This window comes from Homo sapiens, chromosome 2 (genome assembly GCF_000001405.40).
Source record: "Homo sapiens chromosome 2, GRCh38.p14 Primary Assembly".
NCBI classification, from domain to species: Eukaryota; Metazoa; Chordata; class Mammalia; order Primates; family Hominidae; genus Homo; species Homo sapiens.
Window position 1 is genome coordinate 60,879,239 of NC_000002.12, and position 22,231 is coordinate 60,901,469.

The window sequence follows — 22,231 nt, forward strand, 5'->3', positions numbered from 1 at the left end:
TGATGAGCTGTCAGAGTTACAATTTTCCAACTTTTAAAACATTTTTTAATAAAAGTCTGCCCTCAATTTATACAATATTTGCATTCCTGGGAAATTCAGTATATATTAAAAACCATACAAAAATATTTTATATCTATATATGAAAGGGAGTTGTGTTCTAACCATATATTATTAAAATAGGCATTTCAACTACATGAAAGTGAATGTTTGATGAGACGTTTGAAGGTCATGAGGATGAGGGACAATTCTTGACTGTGCTCTTTCCTATCTCAAGGACCTGCTGCCTGCTGTTCCCCCAGCTGGAATGTTCTTTCCCTGAATCTCCCTGTGAATGGCCTTTTTTTTTTTTTTTTTTTTTTTCTGAGACGGAGTCTCGCTCTGTCGCCCAGGCTGGAGTGCAAGTGGCATGATCTCGGCTCACCGCAACCTCCGCCTCCCAGGTTCAAGCAATTCTCTACCTCAGCCTCCTGAGTAGCTGGGGTTACAGGCGCCCGCCACCACGCCTGGCTAATTTTTGTATTTTTAGTAGAGACGGGGTTTCACCATCTTGGCCAGACTGGTCTTGAACTCCCAACCTCGTGATCCACTTGCCTCAGCCTCCCAAAGTGCTGGGATTACAGGCATGAGCCACTGCGCCTGGCCGGCTCTTTCTTAAACTGAGGACTCAGCTCAAATGTCACCTCCTCAGAACTTTCCTCTCCCCCAGTCACTTTTCATTTTGAAATTCCTTCAGAGAACTGAAAATGTTTTCCGTCTCTTTGAAATGTATGTACATATTTTAAAAAGCTAAATAAGCCTCTTGCTAGTTTTGCGTCCTCAGAAGGTCTTTCTTGCGGGCCTCGGAGCCATCTCTTGGAAATGTGAACATCAAGGATGGTGCTCCATGTTTCTGTCTCTAGGAGGGTTTAAGCCTTGGCTCTTGGTTCCAAGATAACTTCCCATTATTTTCCTTTGGATAAAGACAATTAATAGGTATGTAATGGATTGTACGTGCCTGACCATATGAAAAGGTGAGATTTCCTTTTTTTTGGTCTTTGCACTCTCTTCAGTGGATTGCCTGTGATGTGCATCATGGTACGTTTTAGTACATATCCAATAATAAAACTGTTTCATTCTTTTGTTGTACATTGCGCATTTCGTGGAAAGAACAGTTTGGGGTTGGCAGGATATTTTAAATTATTTGCCCATATGGGTCCCCCAGTTTTGGGCACTTGTATGGCAGGCTGATATTCCCCATTACCTCTCCGTACTAATTTTAACTAGTAAGGGACAGGGGCAAGGGCATGGAGCTTTGGAGTCAGACAACCCTGGCTTTAAACTGTGCCTTTTATCAGCATTCTGAAGTACTGTATGTTGAAGTAACTTCTCTGAACCCCGAATACTTCATCTATAAAGTTAGGAATAATAAATACGTCATAGATTAAGTATGGACATTATCTGATGCATAGCAGGTACTATTCAAATGAAGGAAACGAAGTTATCCTAGGTCCTTTAATGCACTAAATGTGTGCTCCATTTCCGCCTTTCTTGGCATCTGTGTGAAATCTCAGGATATAGTGTCCACTAAACTTCAGTGCACTGCCTAATGAGACAACGAACTCCAAGTGCGGACCTTTTGAGTTTAAACGGGTTTCAGTAGGTAAAATACGTAAAGTTCACAGTACCCTCGCAATTTAGATGGAGGAAAAAAAATCAGTCGGGGGGGGGGTCCCCGTATGCAAATACAGGAATTACAGAAGAAGACAGGACCCCCGCCGCAGCACCACTTCCCCCTACAGGGCGCAACGTCCCGCCGCTGGCGCGGGGGTGGAGATTTGCATGTGCGAAGTCGGGAAGAGGGGGAACCACCTCTCGAAAACCCCGGCCGTCGCCCTCCCAGGCCGGGAGAGTCGGCCCCGCGCGCCCCCAAAAGCTCCCCAGCGGCCGGCCCTCTCTACGTCATCCGCACCCTCCCGCCCGCTCCTGAACTTTAAACCACACTCGGAAGAACAACCTGGAGGAGGGGGATTTCTCAGGAGCCAGCGGCCTTCTCACGCTGCTAGCCGTCACCTCCCGGCTCCCGCCGTTCCCTGCGCTCCCGAAGCCCACCCCAAGCTCCCGCTCCCTCGACCCCCTCCCAAGCCAGCCGCCGCAGCAGCGCCGGGGGCGTATGCGTGGGGGCCGGCGGGGAGCGTGCGCGGGGACAGGCAGGGGCGGGGCGCTGGGGGCGGTCGCGCGCGCGGCGGCCGCGAGGTCGCCCCGCCCACGCCTCCGGGTGAGGGTTGCTGCGTCGGGCCTACGTCAGCCGCGGGAAATTCCCCTCCCGCCAGGCTGCTCGCCTCTCGGCTGGGCCAGCACTCGGCTCTCCCCGCTCCGCCCCCTGCCCCTGGCTCCCGTACGGTGGACGGCGACGCTGGGTGACCCGGGGTGCAAGAATTCAGGGGTTGGGAAGGTGTGAGCCGCAAACCCAGCGGAGGGCGGGAAGAAGGAGGAGGCCTCTAGGGTGGTCGGGGGACTGGGGGCCCCGCCGGCAGAGGTCCCTCGGCCTCCTGACTGACTGACTGCGGCCGCCTCCGGCCAGGACGCTGGGAGCTGCCTGCGGGAAGGTGCGGGGAGCGGAGCCATGGCCTCCGGTGAGTGTTCATGGGGCGCGGGCCTGGGCCGGGGGAAAGGAGCTCTTCTGAAGGGGGTCCTGCCGCAGTGAGTTTAGGGAGCTCAGTTTTTGCTGGGGCGCGTTCTGTCTTTAAAATCTCATATGGTAAAATTGTCAGCTTTTAAAAAAGTTACCTGCTTCAGGGTTTGCGTGCAGAATCCAAGCCACGCTCTGTAATTCGATCCTGTTGTCATAGCAGGAACCTTAGAAATTCCCAACGACTTGATTTTAGGATTAGGGAAGTCATAAGCGAACCAAAGGAGGACGAAGAGTTCTCATTAAAAATGTATATGTATTGAAGATGGTGGTTTTATGTTTTAGAACAGGAATGAGGAACCTTCAGACCTCGGGCAAGCTCTCTCCCCCTTTTTAGTTTAATTTCATCAAATGCAAAGAGGTGATCCCCCTTGTACTGACAGTTGTACAAAATGTGTCACGGCTTTAAAAATCATCCGTGGTATTTTAACACGAATTAGAAAATCCGTGGTATTTTAAGTGTTAATGTTGCTTCGACCAAGTGTAGGCCGGGCGCGGTGGCTCATGCCTGTATTCCCAGCACTTTGGGAGGCCGAGGCGGGTGGATAACCAGAGGTCAGGAGTTTGAGACCAGCCTGGCAAACATGGTGAAACCCCGTCTCTACTAAAAATACAAAAATCAGCGGGGCGTGGTGGCGCGCGCCTGTAATCCCAGCTACTCGGGAAGCTGAGGCAGGAGAATCGCTTGAACCTGGGAGGTGGAGGTTGCAGTGAGCCGAGATCGCGCCCCTGCACTCCAGCCTGGGCGACAGAGGGAGACCCTGTCTCTATTTAAAAAAAAAAAAAATGTAGTTTTTACTGTGAGATAAAGCTCAAGGTTCCTAATCTGACGAATAGAGACGTTGAATCCCCCTTCCTCCTCGCTGGAAATAAGGGGAAAGAGGAGTTTTAGAATATCCGAGCTTTAAAATAATGAGTAGGAATGAATACAACTTTATCACTTATGTGACTATATATTTTCCCTTAATAAATGCTCGATCTCTCCCTTTGGGGGGGAATAAGTTTGTAAGAAACATTGCAGAGCAAGAAAGTCTCCTATATACACAGATGTGGTTGGGGCTGCCTGGAGCTTAAGGTTGAGGGGGACGGGAGAGCCGGGGCGGGGGGATAAATCAAGTAGCCTGGGGTCGAGTTGGTCTTTTACCAGGATTTTGGCAAGGTGAGTGGGGGACACTTTCCAGACAGAGGAAGCAGCGTGAGCAAAGGCAGGGAGGGCTAAATGCATGTTAAATGCTGTACTAAGAGAATGAAGAGGGGGCCCCGTTTATGAACTTGACTCTTATCCCCAAACTGCCTGGTCCAGTGACCCTCAGAAGTAGGCTGATGTCTAGTAGAGATGAGGAAGTAGGAAGCTTAAAGAACCTTTTTAAAAGGTTGAGCAGAACAATGCCATAGCTATTGCTGTAGGCAGAAAAGGAAATTGGGGTGTTTCACATGACATTTGATTTCAGTTTGTTTGTGGTTGTGAGAATACTAAGTGTAGTTTAAAATATTTCAACTTTCCCTTTTCCCACTTAAGTGACACCAGACTTTCAGATAATCGTGTAAATTTATGAATTCAAAGCATGTGTAGATTAGAAGTGCTAAGATGACTTCAAATATTTTGTTAATGTATTGGTTATCAGAAAGATTTTGTTTGGAAGTAATGGAGAATGCCTAGCATTATAAGTAAGTTCAGGCTCTTGGCGATTTAATCAAACTTTATTGATATATTGCATGAATTTAATACTTCTAATTTTTTCAGTTGAGAGAGGAAACAACCATTTCTATATAGAGTATTGTAAGACCCACAGGATTTTAAAATTTGATACAATTTAAATTTGTTCATTGACACTGTATTTTGTGCTGTTGTGAGGAGGAAGGATTCCCTAAAAGTAAGGAGGAAATGTTTAAAGAAATGGAAAGTTTTAAAGGTTTAGAAGTTGAAGGGTGATTAACTTTTTTTTTTTTTTTTTTGGTCTTTTCTAAGAGTTGCATTAAAATGGGACTATTTAAAATGTAACAAGTTATTTAAATTGTAATTCAGTTGTTAGAAAACTGCCAGGCCTGGAATAAAAAAAAAAAAATGTTTACAGGAATCTGTGTACTTTTCCTTAATCTGTTATAAAGACCTTAGAGAAAGAAAAAGATTCACTAATAAAATTCTAAATTCCTATTCTGTTTTGAAACAGTAATTTAACCGGAAGAGTGACCAAAAAAAAAAAAAAAAAGAAATTGCTTAGTTTTTCATTGTCTAGTTTAGATTCTGTTTGTAGTAAGGTAGTATTAAAACCTCAGAAAGTAACTTTTATTCATTACGAAGTATTTAAGAGCATTTCTTCATTTCTTACCAGATGTCATATGTAAATAGGTATATGTAGTTGAATATGTGATAGCTATAATGTAAAAGTAACATAAATCATAATCTTATAAGCAAAATTATGTAAGTTAGAATGTAGTTTAAAATCATGTATATAATATGATTCTAAATTTTGTTTAGATAAGTTAGCAGATTAATTAGGATTTCACAGCTTGTATTAAGCTGCCTTTCGTTGCTTTTTAAAAAAATTACACCTTGATCACAGTCTTTTGACATAATTAATAATAGATATAGTGAAGAAAAATGTTCCCAAACCCATCTAAGGTATGCATAGTAGGCAGTTGTTGCTTTTGTATATTTATTCTATTTAATATAAGTAAAATTAGATATTTTATGTCTGAATTTAAACCTTCTCATTGTTCCAGTAAAAAGAGCAAAATGTCTTTGTGTGGCATATAGCTCTGTTAACTAATAATTAGTGCTGTCTTTGGTAAAATGTTTTAAAATTTAGATAATTTATTTTTCTTCACATTTTTCTTAGTATGGTTCTTCTGTGTCACACAATAGGAAGGAAGTACAGAAATGAATTGTTTTTGTAAACCTCACTTCTTACCAACTATTTGTAGTGTGAATTTCAAGAGAATTGTTGTTTTTCTCGATTAAAGGGGAGAAATGGAAGTAAGTGTGAGGCAACTTAATCTTTAATAACAGAGCTGGAAGTTAGGAATGGATAGCTACAGTAAATGACTTCTTTTTTTAAGTAAAATGCCACACATGAGCATGAATGTTTCAGAAATGCAACACATGAAAAAATAGAAATAACAATGGAGTTAAATAATTAAGGTGACGTATGATAGGCACAGATAAAGGGAATGAGTTAATGTAATGACTAGGGAGGAGCCAGACAATGAATCATAATTAGGAACATCTAGGTTATGCATAGTATCTTTCTCAAATACAATTTAAGGGACTCAGAATTTCATTTTGTTCCAACTTTCTCTCATATGGGTTCTCTGAAAATGATTTTGTTTGTAGGCACATGACCCAAATATTGCATGGGATAAAATTGTTTTTCTGAAATTCATATTTATCTGGGCCTCCTCTGTTTTTATTTTTAAAACAGAGGTGATTTGGTCTTGCCATTTGTTTTTAACTTTAATACCTGTATAATCTAGGACAGCTTTTAAAATTTATTTATTTTACCCTGGCACGTGCAAGAGTTTTTTCAAGACTTACCTTTTTTCCCCCTTGGTAACAGAATCCCTATTGCCAGAATCTTTTACAGTTTTTACCTTGTAGTGCATAAATCAGTTGAATACTCATCTGAAAATTTCCTTTCTTTGATTCTTAAGGCCCAGTTGAAAGTCAGCCTGATGTATTGGAGTAATAAAGTCAGCCTGATATATTGGCATAGCCTTTGGCTGATGAGAGACCTAGTTTGAGGAAAAAAATAATAGATCTTATTTTCTTTTTCTCCAAATTGAGTAGAGGTGATATTTGGAAAAATATATATTGTTAGCTCCATTGGCTCCTTTAGGTCTCAGGCAAAGTCTGTCACCGAGGACCTTTATGAGAGACATGCAGTCTAGTCAGCTATTCTCAACTGTGGTGTTGACACACTGGTGTGACAATCATTTGTGTGATGTGTTGCAAGAGTTAAAATATTTGTGTTGTAAATTATTTACTTTTTAAATAAATGAAAGCATTTGAAGGTTATCTCTATATTGTCATTTTTTCTTGCTTGCATTTGAATAAGGTTCTTTTTTAAGTGGGAGATAAACACAAGTTCAAGTTACAAGTAGCCAGAATTGCTTTGCCTAATTTACTCACGTCCCAGTCCATATTTGTACCTGAATTTTTAGATTACTTCTCTCAATATGTGCATTGTTGCTTCCACTTCATGTTTTAAGACAATTATTCTTAATCAGGAGTGTGTTAGAATTTCTTGGAAGGCTTTTTCAGCAACGTGTATCTGGGCTTTAAAAACTATGAAGATTTCTTTATCTTCTAAACATCTCAAGTGGGGTAAGGACATGTATGTTTTGAAAAAACTACCTAGGTGATTCTGATGTACATCCCCAGTATGAACTCTGTTCTAGGGATTTCTTTGGATCTAAATACTCATTTGGCTATACCAGGATGCATTATCTTCTTAAATTAAGTTGCATTTATTTTAGATTGCAGATTATGTGCTGTATCAGTTATTACCTCCAGTTGCTTTTATGCTTGTTTTTTAAATTTGGCACTGCCATATTAGCATACCATTCATAATTCATTTTTATTATAACTTCATATAATTTTCAACTTTAGTTTTATCATGTGTAAGATGGGATAATAATTTCTATTATTTTTCAAATGGAGATTAAAGTTAAGAGGATCAAATGAGAAATGTATATAAAGGGGTCTTAAAATAATGTTATAATTACAATAATTAGCTTTTTTTTCTGTATACTTGATGCTGGTTGCTAATTCTAGCAATAAAGTGTTTGTTAATAATGTGTCTATTTCCGATAATTTATGATCCATTTAAACATTTCAATGTAATTTTTTTATTTTAAAAGCTCATGCTTTATTAGATAGGCACTATGTTTTAAAATAGCACTCTTTCTTGCCTAAGCGCAAATAAAAACATAGATATATCTTACAAACATTTTGGCTGTATTTTAGAAGTTATTCTGATGTATATTAGCCTTTTAAAATACTATTCAGAATATAGGGGTCAGTCCCAGCTTTGCATAGTGTTGCTTAAAGAAAAATACAGTAATCAATTTGTTTAGAGTCAATTTTGGAGACGTTTTGGTGCTTTTCAAAACTGTGGCGATTTGAGGTTATCTTAGTTAAGAGTACTTATTTTCCCTACAATTTCCTGATTTATGTTTTACCCTCTTGCACTCCATAGATGACTACATTTCAACACATTTTATATTCAGGAAGAATGGCATTGTGCAAAGCACAGTACTGAGGAAGGAGATAACTGGTGCATTGTACTGATGCATTATATAAATGATTTATAGCTGGGAAGTTTTTTAAAAATCATAAACACAGATAAATCAAAATAGGAATGAGTATGAGGAAATACTGAGGTGTAGCAATCCTGGTACCTATAAAGCACTATTTTTTTTTCCTTAGTAGTGGAATCTAATTAAAAAATCTGACTAATCACTTATATGATTATTTAACGTTTGAATAACTTGTATAAACAAAAGACCTTAAGATTTTTTAGTCATTCATTCAATAGATGTTTAATGAATATCTCTGTACAAGGCACTGATGAGTTAAACACAATTTCTGCCTTCAAGTAGCTTGAAGAAATAAAACAAGTAGCTTTATCTCAAGAAGAAATAAGACGGTAAGTTTTCCCTAAATTACAGTTATTTGGAATAATTGCTATACACAGAATACTATGGTAGTTTAAAGGAGGGGAGATTATTTCCAGCTGGGGGAATGTAGAGTATTACAGTATACTGTGTTACTTGGTTGTAATACTCTACATTCCCCCAGCTTGTTAATTTTTACCAATTAAGAGCTTCTGCAGTAGGAAAAATAAATTCCAAGGACTTTAAATACTCAATATTATATGATAACTGATATTTATGTAATTTTTACTATTTAAAAATATTTAATCTTTTCAACAACTACTTTTCTGTTCTTTTTGTAAACAATCTAAAGAAGTGTCATGTAACCAATGAAGTTTTGGGTTTTTTTGTTGTTGTTTTTGTGTTTTGTTTGTTTTTTTTTTTGAGACGGAGTCTCACTCTGTCACCCAGGCTAGAGTGCAGTGGTACAATCTTGGCTCACTGCAGCCTCCACCTCCTGGGTTCAAGCAATTCTCTTGCCTCAGTCTCCCAAGTAGCTGGGATTACAGGTGCCTGCCACCACATCCCGCTAATTTTTTGTATTTTTAGTAGAGATGGGGTTTCACCATGTTTTCCAGGCTGGTCTGGAACTCCTGACCTCAAGTGATCCACCCACTTTGGCCTCCCAAAGTGCTGGGATTACAGGTATGAGCCACCATGCCCAGCCTCAGTGAAATATTTGAATGCTCACTATGAACCTAGCAGTTTTATTCACACTCTCTCTTCCCAAAGTTAAACACTTATCATTAACGATGTCATTTTATATCAGTTTCCCACCAAGACACCTTTAAATAAGTAGTGGGCAGGGATTTATTTGGCCTTTACTTCAGCCACATAAATTATTTAAAATGTGACTTAAAAAGTAATGTTGATTTTAACAGTTTTTAAGAGGAAAATATACTTTCTTAAATACTCCTACAAGGATATATAAGGGTATGAAATATTTGAAATTGCAATGTGAATTTGAAATCTTTAAAATATGCAAGGATAAAATCGTGAAATACTCATCTGCATATCTTATGTTTTTGAGTAAAACTGAAATAAGGATTATGAACTTGTTTAGGTTAAAGTCAGTTTTCTCTGGCTCTTCATCTTCTGAATAAACAAATAGGTAGTAGATTCAAACACAGGGAGTTTACACCATACAGAATAAAATTGAAAGTTACAGTAATACTTTATTCAGTAACCCAAAGTAGAAGCCATGGAATCATCAATGATTCTTTAATTTCTGAGCTATCAGTGATTCTTTAATTTCTCTTAACCCTACTGTTCAGGCACCAGGTGCTGTCAATTTTATCTTTTAAATAATCCTTCATTCATCTTATCACTGCCATATATCAGAGATACCCTCATCATTGCCCACATTATTATAGTGGTCTCTAAACTGATGACATTGCTTTCTTTTTTCTATCTGTTCACTGTGACTAAAACTTTTACTCTAAAATGCAAATCTGATCATGTGATTTGCCTGCATCAAAATATTCATTGATTTCATCACACATAAAATGAAATCCACATTGCCAAGTGTGCTCTGACTTTTAGTTCTCTTTTTAAGAGAGAAAGTGTGTTCCATTTACATTGGTGATTCTTAAATAAACCCTCCTCTGTGGACACACTGTTCCCTTTTCCCTAGAATACCTACCTTTTTCCTCTTCATTTCCTCCGCTCTTTTGCTTCATTAACCGCTCTTTTTCCACTGACACAGTTGGGCATTCCTGACTCTTTCGCTCTTATTTCCGCAGAATTTTGTTAGTGCTTTCCTTCCTTCTGTAGTCTAATAATATATGTTGTTTGCCTTGCTCTTCTATAAGGTCCTTTAGAGTGACAGTTGGGATACCACCATAGTATCACTAAATCATTGTTTTCAAGAAAGCATCTGAAATAATAGACACCATTTTTTTTTATTTTTTATTTTTTTACACTTTAAGTTTTAGGGTACATGTACACATCGTGCGGCTTTGTTACATATGTATACATGTGCCATGTTGGTGTGCTGCACCCATTAACTTGTCATTTAACATTAGGTATATCTCCTAATGCTTTCCCTCCCCCCTTCCCCCACCCCACAACAGGCCCTGGTGTGTGATGTTCCCCTTCCTGTGTCCATGTGTTCTCATTGATCAATTCCCACCCATGAGTGAGAACATGCGGTGTTTGGTTTTTTTGTCCTCACGATAGTTTCCAGCTTCATCTATGTCCCTACAAAGGACATGAGCTTATCCTTTTTTATGGCTGCATAGTATTCCATGGTGTATATGTGCCACATTTTCTTAATCCAGTCTATCATTGTTGGACATTTGGGTTGGTTCCAAGTCTTTGCTATTGTGAAGAGTGCCGCAATAAACATACTTGTGCATGTGTCTTTATAGCAGCATGATTTATAATCTTTTGGGTATATACCCAGTAATGGGATGGCTGGGTAAAATGGTATTTCTAGTTCTAGATCCCTGAGGAATCGCCACACTGACTTCCACAATGGTTGAACTAGCTTACAGTCCCACCAACTGTGTAAAAGTGTTCCTATTTCTTCACATCCTCTCCAGCACCTGTTGTTTCCTGACTTTTTAATGATCGCCATTCTAACTGGTGTAAGATGGTATCTCATTGTGGTTTTGATTTGCATTTCTCTGATGGCCAGTGATGATGAGCATTTTTTCACGTAGACAACATTTATTGAATGTGTATGTATATATGACACTTCGTAAGAATTTAGCACATATAATCTGTCATCTTCACAACAACCCAATGAGGTAGGTGCTATTATGATTATTCCTATTTTACAGAGGAGGAAACTAAGAGATTTTTAATTTTAATCACATTTCCTTGGTCTTACTGTTAAGAAGTAGCTGGGGTAGGATTCTAAAGGCCTCTTCTCCATACTGTTCTGATAAGGCCCACTGTGTTACCATTTCTCAGGATTGCTTGCGTTCTAACAGGATAAGCCTTAGTCAGCACTAAAGTGATTAAGGGACACATTATTATTATTTTTTAATGGAAAACATCTTCACACCCCTATTAACTCCCCTACTTGCAAGTACAGTTGAGTGTCTATTTACCTTTTCCCCCACAATTTGGATAATAAAAGTAAAGTTGCATACATTTTAAATAGCTTTATTGACATATAATTTATGTACAACAAACTGTACTTTTAAAGTATGCAATTTGACAAGTTTTGACATATGTATACAACCCTGGAATCATCATCACAAGATAATGTCCCCCCTGCCTTTCCTATCCACCATATATCCCTGTTCTTAGGCAACCAGTGATCTGCTATCGTTCATTGTATATTACTTTACATATCCTAGGGTTTCATATAAATGGAATCATACAGTATGTGCTCTTCTGGTCTAACTTCTTTCACTCAGCATAATCATTTTGAGAGTCGTCCATGTTATTATATGTAGCAGCAGTTCATTCTGCAGATGCATATTTTGAATTTTAGTTATTATAGAAAGTGAATACTTTTTTTTCTCTATTATGTCTTTAGAAAAGGTTTGCATGGGACTGATTGCACATTCTTTGAGCCTAAAGTCCCTCCTGGGGCTTGTTTTGATATACTGTGTGTAAGTCCTTTAATATTTGAATGGAGATATAAAAAACTTACATATGCTTCTGCAAGGATTTAAATGCATTTTCATTTTCAGTGAATGGTCTTTTCATTCAGTATTATGAATATGATGTAAAATCAAGCAGTTAAATATATTTAACTCACTTTAGGAGTGTGATATTTTACTTCTGAATACTGCCTTCTTTACCCTTCTTGGGGAATCTTGGGGGAAACCCTTCTGCTAGGTCTCACGTGGGAGGCAGATATCTCTGAAGTGGTTATCTCAGAACTTCATATTGACGTTAGCTATAGATATTAAGCTATAAAGTGCTAACCAGTCAATATGGTTTGAATGACTTGTTTTGACACTACATAGGGACTCAATTTGAATGGGAAAAAAAGGTGCCTCTCCCAGCCAATCTCCAAGATAACATTTCGGTCTTGTTATTTAATGTTAGGAGGAAAAAAATCTTTGTTTTAGTCTGCTGTTATAAAAAAAACAGAATGTTAAAATCCATTATTAATTGCTATATTAATCTCACTGACCTCCTCCTTTTTAAAAACTTTTCAGGTGCGTATAACCCGTATATAGAGATAATTGAACAACCCAGGCAGAGGGGAATGCGTTTTAGATACAAATGTGAAGGGCGATCAGCAGGCAGCATTCCAGGGGAGCACAGCACAGACAACAACCGAACATACCCTTCTATCCAGGTAATAGACCCTTCTTCTGTGTCTATCTCACTATTAGTTGCTTCATATACTAGCTATAGCAATTATTTTAAAGGGCCAGTTTCTTCACAGTCATCTCCACAGGTTTATCTTTTTCTTTTTTCCTTTTTTTTTTTAAACGGATCTGTCAAAAAGACATCTATTAGATAGATGTCTAAGGACATTTCTTAAATATAAAATGGAGTCTTCCCCACTGCAGATAGTTCTATGGTGCTTGTGTATTAACCTAAGTAGAGCGACTCAATGTTGAGAGTACACTGGCAACTTTTGGATCATGTTCTTTTTCATGGAACACAGAGATAATAAGGAAAACCCATTCTCTGCAGAGGTGAGTGATATTATTCTGTAGATTAAACATGGATTTGAGAACTCAATCATAATTCTTCTTGGCTAGTCTTAGGGCTAGAACATTTTTTTCTCCTTTTTCTTAACTTTATTGCTTGTCTCTGATTCTCTGGGTCATTGACTGATTTGAAATACCACTTTATAAATGCAGTTTTTTCACATTAGCATAAATTTTAAAAAGCTTTTGACCAAAAATGACTTTGGTAAACATACTAATAGTTATAAGATGTACTAAATTTATTTATTTATTTATTTTTGAGACGGAGTTTCACACTTGTCGCCCAGGCTGGAGTGCAATGTCGTGATCTCAGCTCACTGCAACCTCCGCCTCCTGGGTTCAAGTGATTCTCCTGCCTCAGCCTACCGAGTAGCTGGGATTACAGACGCCCACCACCACGCCCAGCTGATTTTTGTATTTTTTAGTAGAGACGGGGTTTCACCATGTTGGCCAGGCTGGTCTCCAACTCTTGACATCAGGTGATCCACCCATCTCGGCCTCCCAAAGCGCTGGGATTATAGGCGTGAGCCACTGCGTCCAGCCAAGATGTACTAAATTTATTTATTTTTTTATTTTTTATTTTTTTGAGACGGAGTCTCACTCTGTTGCCCAGGCTGGAGGGCAGTGGCGTGATCTCAGCTCACTGCAAGCTCCACCTCCCAGGTTCAAGCAGTTCTCCCGTCTCAGCCTCCCGAGTAGCTGGGACTACAGGCGCCCCCTACCACGCCCAGCTAATTTTTGTATTTTTAGTAGAGACAGGGTTTCACCATGTTAGCCAGGATGGTCTCAATCTCCTGACCTCGTGATCCGACTGCCTTGGTCTCCCAAAGTGCTGAGATTATAGGTGTGAGCCAACATGCCCAGCCCAATGTACTAAATTTCTATTTTCTATTTGTAAACTATTTTTCTTTGACTTTCAATGAAGGGTTTATCCTTTAAATGCCAATTAAAAACTTTAATGGCAAAGTAGATTTTGAAAAGTGTTGCTTTTTGTTTTTGTTTTTGAAAAGTGTTACTTTTATCAACAGATCTTAATTCACTGTTTTATAACTAGATTATTTACAAAATCTATTCTGTTGATGAACTTAAAGGGAATTGCTGAATTATAGAATAAACCAATGGCAAAATTATATATATTGAATTCCAGATTTCTATTTTTATCACATTTTTGGCAGTAATATGGATTTGGGTTATCTAAGTCTTTTAAATGTTAAAATGGATGAGATGCTAATAAAAAGGAAATAAGGAAATACTATTTGTCCAGTTTTTTGAGTCATTTTTAAACTTTTCTTCATAATTCATCTTATCCTATGCATCTCTATTTCTAAGATATGTATTTTTACCATTCCAGTAGGTCCTAAACACTTTACAGCTTGAGTTTTGTATTTGCCTACTTATAGTCTTGAGCAATTACCTTCTCTTTCATACAGAAAGAAATGTAATACTTCTTGGTTACTTTCAAATTCTATTTAAATTCAAAATTATGGATTTTAGTGCCCTCTACCTTGTAAGCTACCCATTCTTACTTTACCTTGCTCCTTTGTGGTATGCTGGTTTTTATAGTCCCTGCTTTGTTCTTGCAACTTTACTAGCTTTCAAACTAAGCATTAATTCCTGTCCTCCTTCCTCTTCCATGTTAAACTCTCCTTTTTACTCTGTGTTCTAGCTATACTTTCTATGTGAAATTTGATGTTGTTAAACTCAATTTGATTTATTGCCTATTCTAGAGTAAACACTTGGGGTATGCTTACTGAACAAATATTTTTGTGAAGTGAAATGTCATATATTAAGTAAAATGATCATATTTATGTGCTATCCTTTCCAATACGGCTTAAATATATTTTCAAGGAATGTTTATGGTATGACAGTACGTTAAAGAGCTGGGCATTTAGTGACTTAACATCTGTTTTCTCATGTTCTATGGATAAAATTTGGGTAGAGTTTTACTTGTTTTGAAAGGAAAATAAGCCCAGTCAAATGATATGACCAATTGAAATTAGGGCAGAAAATATGTCAAGAAACTGAGAGGTAAGTTTTTCTGTACTGGTATTCTCTGGAAAGTTTCATCTAAACTGCAGTTGTTCGTCAGCTGGATTTTATTTATCTAGTGCCAATTACATTATAATTAATGTAAATTGAATTCTCATTTAGTAGATCAGTTTATAATGCAGTCTATTTGGATCATGTATTTAATTTCCCCCTTTTTTCAGATTATGAACTATTATGGAAAAGGAAAAGTGAGAATTACATTAGTAACAAAGAATGACCCATATAAACCTCATCCTCATGATTTAGTTGGAAAAGACTGCAGAGACGGCTACTATGAAGCAGAATTTGGACAAGAACGCAGACCTTTGTTGTAAGTACACAGTTACAGACATCTTCAGAAATAAGATAAGACATAGGATGTTCTGTTTCTTCTCCATGACAATCTGTTACTTTTTAGCAGAATAATTTTCTCATTCTACTTCTATTTACTGTATTTTACACTTACATTTTTACTATTTGCATTAGAACTACCCTTTCATTCTTTATTAGTAGACACATCTTATGATAGTTAGCAGGAAGACATTTTTATTGTTATTAAAAGTAAACGTAAACTTCTTGTATACTGTGATTTCCTTTCTTGGGGTGGACAGTTTTTGAAATAATTATTCACTCTGTCTTTTTTTTTTTTTTTTTTTTTTGAGATGGAGTTTTACCCTTGTTGCCTAGGCTAAAGTGCAATGGCGCAATCTCGGCTCACTGCAACCTCCACCTCCTGGGTTCAAGCGATTCTTCTGCCTCAGCCTCCCGAGTAGCTGGGATTACAGGCATGCACCACCACGCCTGGCTAATTTTTTTGTATTTTTAGTAGAGATGGGGTTTCTCCATGTTGGTCAGGCTGGTCTGGAACTCCCGACCTCAGGTGATCTGCCTGCCTCGGCCTCCCAAAGTGCTGGGATTACAGGTGTGAGACACCGTGCCTAGCCTCTGTCTTTTCATTTATAGTTAACTTATTATTATTATTATTTTGAGACAAGGTCTCGCTCTGTTACCCAGGCTGGAGTGCAGTGGCATGATCTCGGCCCATTGCAACCTTCACCTCCAGACTCAAGTGATCTTCAGCCTCAGCCTCCTGAGTAGCTGGGACTGCAGGCATGTACCACCATGCCCGGCTAATTTTTGTATTTTTTGTAGAGATGGGGTTTTGCTTGTTGCCGAGGGTGGTCTTGAACTCCTGGACTCAGGCAGTCTGTCCACCTTGGCCTCCCAAAGTGCTTGGGATTACAGGCGTGAGCTGCTGTGCCACGCCCATTTACAGTTAACATAAAAATGCCTGGATGTGAGAAAAATCAACTGGAAAACTCTAGAGTTATTATTTAGAAAGTGGCAGGTTATAGAATTAACATACAACAATAGTTCTAAGATAAAAATAGTCATGTAATACTTCATGATAGTGAGGCTACCAGAAGATGGGCCCATTCATCATGTTAGAATGTAAATTAATAAAGACGTCTGGTAGGCAATTTAACTACATGGCAAAAGCCTGAAAAATATTAATGCCTCTTGAGCCAGCTGTTCCACTTCTAGGAGTTTAGCCTCAGAAAATAATTAAGTGTGTTCAGACATTATGCTCTAATGCTGTTCATTGCAGTTCTCTTTGTAATGGCAAAAAGCTAGAAGCAATCCAAATAGTAAGCAAAGGGGATTAATTAAATAAACTGATACATTCATGCAATGTACTCCTGTACAGCCTTAAAAATCATATTGCCAATATGTCTATTGGTATGTAAATATAGTCACAATATATTAGATAAATAGGTTTTCTGTTTTTTGTTTTTTTTTTTCTTTTTGAGACAGTCTTGCTTTGTTGCCCAGGCTGCAGTGAAGTGGTGTGATTTCGGCTCACTGCAACCTCCACCTCCCTGGTTCAAGTGATTCTCCTGCCTCAGCCTCCCATGTTAGCTGATATTACAGGCATGTGCCACCATGCCCAGCTAATTTTTTGGTATTTAAACCATTAGAGACAGGGTTTCACCATGTTGGCTGGGCTGGTCTCGAATTCCTGACCTCAGGTGATCCACGTGCCTCAGCCTCCCAAAGTGCTGGGATTACAAGCGTGAGCCACGGCACCTGGCCAGATAAATAGGTTTTAAAACAATATGTAAAGAATAATTTTATTTTTGTTTAAGATAAATTTATACATATACATGATGTGTATATGTTAATACTAAGGTATTAATAGTAGTTGTCTGGGTGGGTAAGATTGTAGGGTTTTATGTTTTTCTTTTAACTTATATTTTATAATTCATTTTTGTAATGAACATGTATTGGCTTTTGGGGAAAAATGAACTAATGGCAACAGAAAAGAGATTAATAGTCTCCACATATATTAGTAATAACCATTTAGAAAAAAATACTTTAAATGCTCCTCTTACAATAATAACACAAAAGAAAATATCTAGTATTATACACACTTGGCAAATATTTGTCTATATTACTTGACCTCCCAACAACATTTTACACTGTGATCACTCCTTACTTGAAACATTTTTATTCCTTGCTTTCTGTGAAAACAAACTTCCATTTTACTTCCTGCTTTTCTGGCTGTTCTTTCTTAGTTACAGGCAGTTAAATTTTTGGACCACCTCACTTATTGTCCTAATAATGCTCTTTATGGCTGTTCCAACTCTCTCCCCAATTCAGGATCCCATTAAGGATTACACACTATAGGTAACATTATATTTAACATGAATAACATGAATAATATTTTCATGTTAACATGAAACATTTTGGGCAAGAAATCTATAGAAGTGATGCAGTATAACTCTAAAAATATCCCTTCAGTTTTTTACATTATTGGCGATATTATCTTGGCATTCTATTATAAAGAAGAACTTTCCCTTCCTCTCTTTCTCCATTTAAAAAGTATCACTGTAAACTCATGCATTCTTGTATTTAATATATTATAGTTATTCTGTTATTCTTTTGATTTTCAAATTGACCCAGATTTGACTAATGCAAGCCTCTTCAAACTGTCTCCTGTGTTTTTTTGATATGCCGTCATCTTTCTTTGAGCACTTTTTTACTTTCTGACAAAATGAAATGTTCAAGACTTGTGCTTTTCTTTTTTCTTTTTTTTTTTCCTTTTTTTTTGAGACAGAGCCTTGCTCTGTTGCCCAGGCTGGAGTGCGGTGGTGCGATCTCACCTCACTGCAACCTTCCCCTCCCAAGTTCATGCAATTTTTGTGCCTTGGCCTCCCAAGTAGCTGGAATTACAGGCGTGCACTACCACACCCAGGTAATTTTTGTATTTTTAGTAGATACGGGGTTTCATCATGTTGGCCAGGCTTGTCTCAAACTCGTGACCTCAGGTGATCCTCCTGCCTCAGCCTCCCGAAATGCTGAGATTACAGGCATGAGCCACCGTGCCTGGCCAACTTGTGCTTTGCTTGCCCCAGCCCTGAAGTCATCAGCTTTTTCCAGAGATTCTTGGTTCCTTCTGGTGGGGAATGGTAGTAAGTCTGATTGCCTTCTCAACATATTCCCTTAAATGTCTCAAAAGTACCTTAAGTAGCGGGGCACAGTGGCCCATGCCTGTAGTTACAGCTACTCAGGAGGCCAAAGCAGGAGGATTGCTTGAGCCCAGGAGTTTGAGTCCAGCCTGGGCAACAGAGCGAGATTGTATCTCTTTAAAAAAAAAAAAAAAAAAGCACTTCAAATAGAATATTCCCCAAACGTGATTTTACTGTGATCATATCTCTTTCCCCTCATAACTGGTCTTCTTCCAATGTGCCGTATGTTAGTGATTGCGATAAAAGACCTATAGGTGTCATCTCTGACATTCCTCATCCAGGTGTACACATTGAATCTACTAACAGTTACCTTCTCAACTGGTTTTGAATCTATCCACTTCACTCAGTGAAATTCATCACCGTCATACTACCACTATAGCCTAAACTGGGGCTGCTGGAATAACCTCCTGACTGGTCTTGCATTAACCATTTTGTACCTTTTCCAAACCCTCTATCTTTCCTCGCTTTAGCCAGTGTGATCTTTTAAAATACAAATGAAATTGTCTTTCCCTTGCTTAAAACATTTTAATGGGTTTATTTGGCTCTTGGAATAAAGACAGCATTCCTTCTATATAGCCTATAAGGCCCACATGACCCACCTTTATTTCTAGCCTTCTATTAAACTCTGCTTTCCTTAATTTTTATACTCCACTCACAATGCCTTCCTTTAGTTTCCTCTGTTTCCACTGCTCTTTTCTAGGGGTCTTTGTGTGGCCTGTTCCTTTTGCCTGGAAGTGTTTTTCTTCTGTTCCAGCATAGGCTCCCATAACATCATGTATACCTCCTTCATAAAACTTGTTATGATTGCAGTTTAGCATTTGTGTATGTGTGATTATTTAATGTATATCCACTTGACCAGAGACTACCAGACTTTTTCTGTAAAGTACTAGATAGTAAATGTTTGGGGTTTTGCAAGCTGTATGGTCTCTGTTGCTCAGCTCTGCTGTTGTAGCATGAAAGCAGCCATAGATAATATGTAAACATCAGTTTGGCTGTGTTCCAATAAAACTTTATTTGCAAAGACAGACAAGATGTTGGATTTGGTCCATGAGTTACAGTTTGCCAATCTTTCCACTAGACTGTAAGCTTCTTGAGGAAAGGGATTGTATATCCCCATTACTTTGCAGAGTTTTTGGTATATAGTACGAACCCCAAAGCTTGTTGAATGTCTGTGAATGAATGAATGAATAATTGATTCAAACAATCTCTTGATCCTTCATTTCAGAATTTCAAAAATTACCACCACCCCTAATATTCCGTGAATAGCAGTCAAATATGAGATTATTCAGATGAAACAAAATGAAGTAATATAAATGTATTAATATGAAGAATTCTATAAAATCTTTTACCAAAGAAAAAGAATCAAACCAAGAATCTTTCAAAGAAGTGGAAATACTTTTGAGGAAGAGGATTATAGTTGCAAGATTTCAAGAAAGGATTAAGAATTCAAGATTTAGCTGACCAAGCATAGTGGCTCATGCCTATAATCCGAGCACTTTGGGAGGCTGAGGCAGGTGGACTGCTTGAGTCCAGGAGCTTAAGACCAGCCTGGGCAACCTGGTGAAACCCTGGCTCTACAAAAATACAAAAATTAGCCAGGTAGGGTGTCATGTACCTGTAGTCCAGCTACTCAGGAGGCTGAGGTGGGAGGATCACCCGAGCCTGGGAGGCAGAGGTTGCAGTGAGCCGGTATGGTGCCACTGCATTCCAGCCTGGGTGGCAGAGTGAGATCATCTCAAAAAAAAATGTTTTTTAAGATTTATTTTTGTAGTTATTGGAGGCAGAGGAAGGAAATGTGAAAGATATTTTAGATGCTAGCAAAATTGTAGATGTGAAGAACATGAGCATAAGACAGCATGAGTATGGAGACAGGCAGACAAAGTAGCCTCCGGTTGCAAGTGCCATGTGAAGTTTGAACAATAGTAATGTTATTATAATTGAGTTTTGCTTCCTTATTCACGCCCACCCAATTTTACTGATGTCATGGTTTTTCCATGTGGGAACAAGTATGACTGGTGGTGGTGGGGGAGTTCCCCCCACCATCGTCTATGCTACACATATGCAAATTAGTAGTATTTGTAGCTATTGGGAAGTTTTTCATAAATGACATTTTGAAACTTGTTAAATATTGTTAGCATTAAACTTCTTTCTAATACAAAAACATTTTAGTAATTTTTTATGATGAATGGCTATAACTTTATATAATGTGGCACAAAACATATTCTACTGCTAATAACAGTGAATTCAGGGCTCAAAAAGCAAATCTCTGTGGAGCTAGGCAAGCAGCATAAATGAGTGGTGTGGATCAAGTGTAGGAGGACTAACAGGCACTGTAGCAAACTAAAGAGCCCTGAATAAATGGGGCTTAGTCCCTAGCCTGTTGTTTCTGTGCCAACCTAGTATTGCCAGGTCTTTAAAATGTACAAGAGAAGCCGGAAATCCAGATGTTCATATGCAATTACCTGATTTCTAAATGTAGATAACCTGTGCAGATTTTTAAAAATATAGGCAACACTTTTGTGAGCCTAGCAAAACATACCTGTGGGCTTCAACCTGTGAACATCTCTTTACAGCTTTTGCTTTACATTATCAAACAGACTTTATTGATTTGATTCTGAATTTGTTTGGGAGGCAAATTTTACCATTTAATATTGCTTTACTGTTAATCTATATTTTGGTATGTTTGACATAGGCATATTAGTAATTGTAAAACACTGTATGTTAAAATGATATAGTATATATTATTTTTCTTTTAACAGTTCTTAGAAGTACAACCCCACTTCTTTTTTTTTTTTTGAGGCAGAGTTTTGCTTTTGTTGCCCAGGCTGGAGTGCAATGGCGTGATCTCGGCTTACCGCAACCTCTGCCTCCCAGGCTCAAGTGATTCTCCTGCCTCAGCCTCCCGAGTAGCTGAGATTACAAGCATGTGCCACTATGCCTGGCTAATTTTGTATTTTTAGTAGAGACGGGGTTTCTCCATGTTGATCAGGCTGGTCTGGAACTCCTGACCTCAGGTGATCCACCTGCCTTGGCCTCCCAAAGTGCTGGGATTACAGGCACAAGCCACGCGCCCAGCCATATAATCCCACTTCTTACTCTCTCATCTTTATCAGAGCAATTGGAAGCACGTTCATGCTTTGGTATGTACAACTGACAGCATGATAACTTCAGTATTGCTATATGTTTGATTTTTGCAATATTCCTTGTGTTTATAATGCAGTTTTGAATATTGTTTTTTTCCTGCTAGTTTCCAAAATTTGGGTATTCGATGTGTGAAGAAAAAAGAAGTAAAAGAAGCTATTATTACAAGAATAAAGGCAGGAATCAATCCATTCAATGGTAAGTATGTTTGATAAAATCATTTCTATTTATTTGGGTGTTGATTTCTGTTTCTTTTTTCTTTCTCTTTTTTTTTTTTTTTTTTTTTTTGAGACGGAGTTTTGCTCTTGTCGCCAGGCTGGAGTGCAATGGCGCGATCTCAGCTCACTGCAACCTCCGCCTCCCAGGTTCAAGCAATTCTCCTGCCTCAGCCTCAGCCTCCGGAGTAGCTGGGATTATAGGCGCCCACCATCACACCCAGCTAATTTTTGTATTTTAAGTAGAGACGGGGTTTCACCATGTTAGCCAGGCTGGTCTCGAACTCCTGACATCAGGTGATCTACCCGCTTTGGCATCCCAAAGTGCTGGGATTACAGGCGTGAGCCATTGTGCCCAGCTATTTATAT

At 38.5% G+C, this 22,231-nt stretch overlaps 1 protein-coding gene and 1 long non-coding RNA gene across 5 annotated transcripts in view, besides 3 other annotated features; one reads left to right on the forward strand and one right to left on the reverse strand.

Moving 5' to 3' along the window:
* The window catches only part of REL-DT (REL divergent transcript), a 33,555-nt gene extending 31,479 nt beyond the window's left edge, over positions 1 to 2,076 (reverse strand). Inside the window, exon 1 of the long non-coding RNA NR_033980.1 lies at positions 1,994 to 2,076. This is a non-coding gene — a long non-coding RNA (REL divergent transcript). The remainder of the gene's footprint in view (positions 1 to 1,993) is intronic.
* Positions 1,931 to 2,470: a silencer, noted in NCBI's record as "silent region_11521". NCBI's record gives its function as "represses an Ori minimal core promoter by ATAC-STARR-seq in GM12878 lymphoblastoid cells {active_cell/tissue: GM12878}" and the evidence as "EXISTENCE:reporter gene assay evidence [ECO:0000049][PMID:35858748]".
* Positions 1,931 to 2,748: a biological region, named in NCBI's record as "H3K27ac hESC enhancer GRCh37_chr2:61108452-61109121".
* Positions 2,079 to 2,748: an enhancer, noted in NCBI's record as "H3K27ac hESC enhancer chr2:61108452-61109121 (GRCh37/hg19 assembly coordinates)". NCBI's record gives its function as "activates a minimal SCP1, AML or CMV promoter by ChIP-STARR-seq in primed H9 embryonic stem cells {active_cell/tissue: H9 hESC(primed)}" and the evidence as "EXISTENCE:reporter gene assay evidence [ECO:0000049][PMID:30033119]".
* REL (REL proto-oncogene, NF-kB subunit) overlaps positions 2,336 to 22,231 on the forward strand; it is a 50,039-nt gene continuing 30,143 nt past the window's right edge. For 3 of the 4 annotated variants that reach the window (NM_002908.4, NM_001291746.2, NM_001438025.1), the window contains exons 1-4: positions 2,336 to 2,612; positions 12,445 to 12,587; positions 15,159 to 15,307; positions 21,754 to 21,845. In NM_002908.4, the coding sequence (NP_002899.1) occupies positions 2,603 to 2,612; positions 12,445 to 12,587; positions 15,159 to 15,307; positions 21,754 to 21,845 (394 nt within the window). In that variant the 5' untranslated portion in view covers positions 2,336 to 2,602. Of the gene's footprint in view, positions 2,613 to 12,444; positions 12,588 to 15,158; positions 15,308 to 21,505; positions 21,647 to 21,753; positions 21,846 to 22,231 lie in introns of those variants that run through there. The other variant, XM_011533010.4, reaches the window with a different exon arrangement.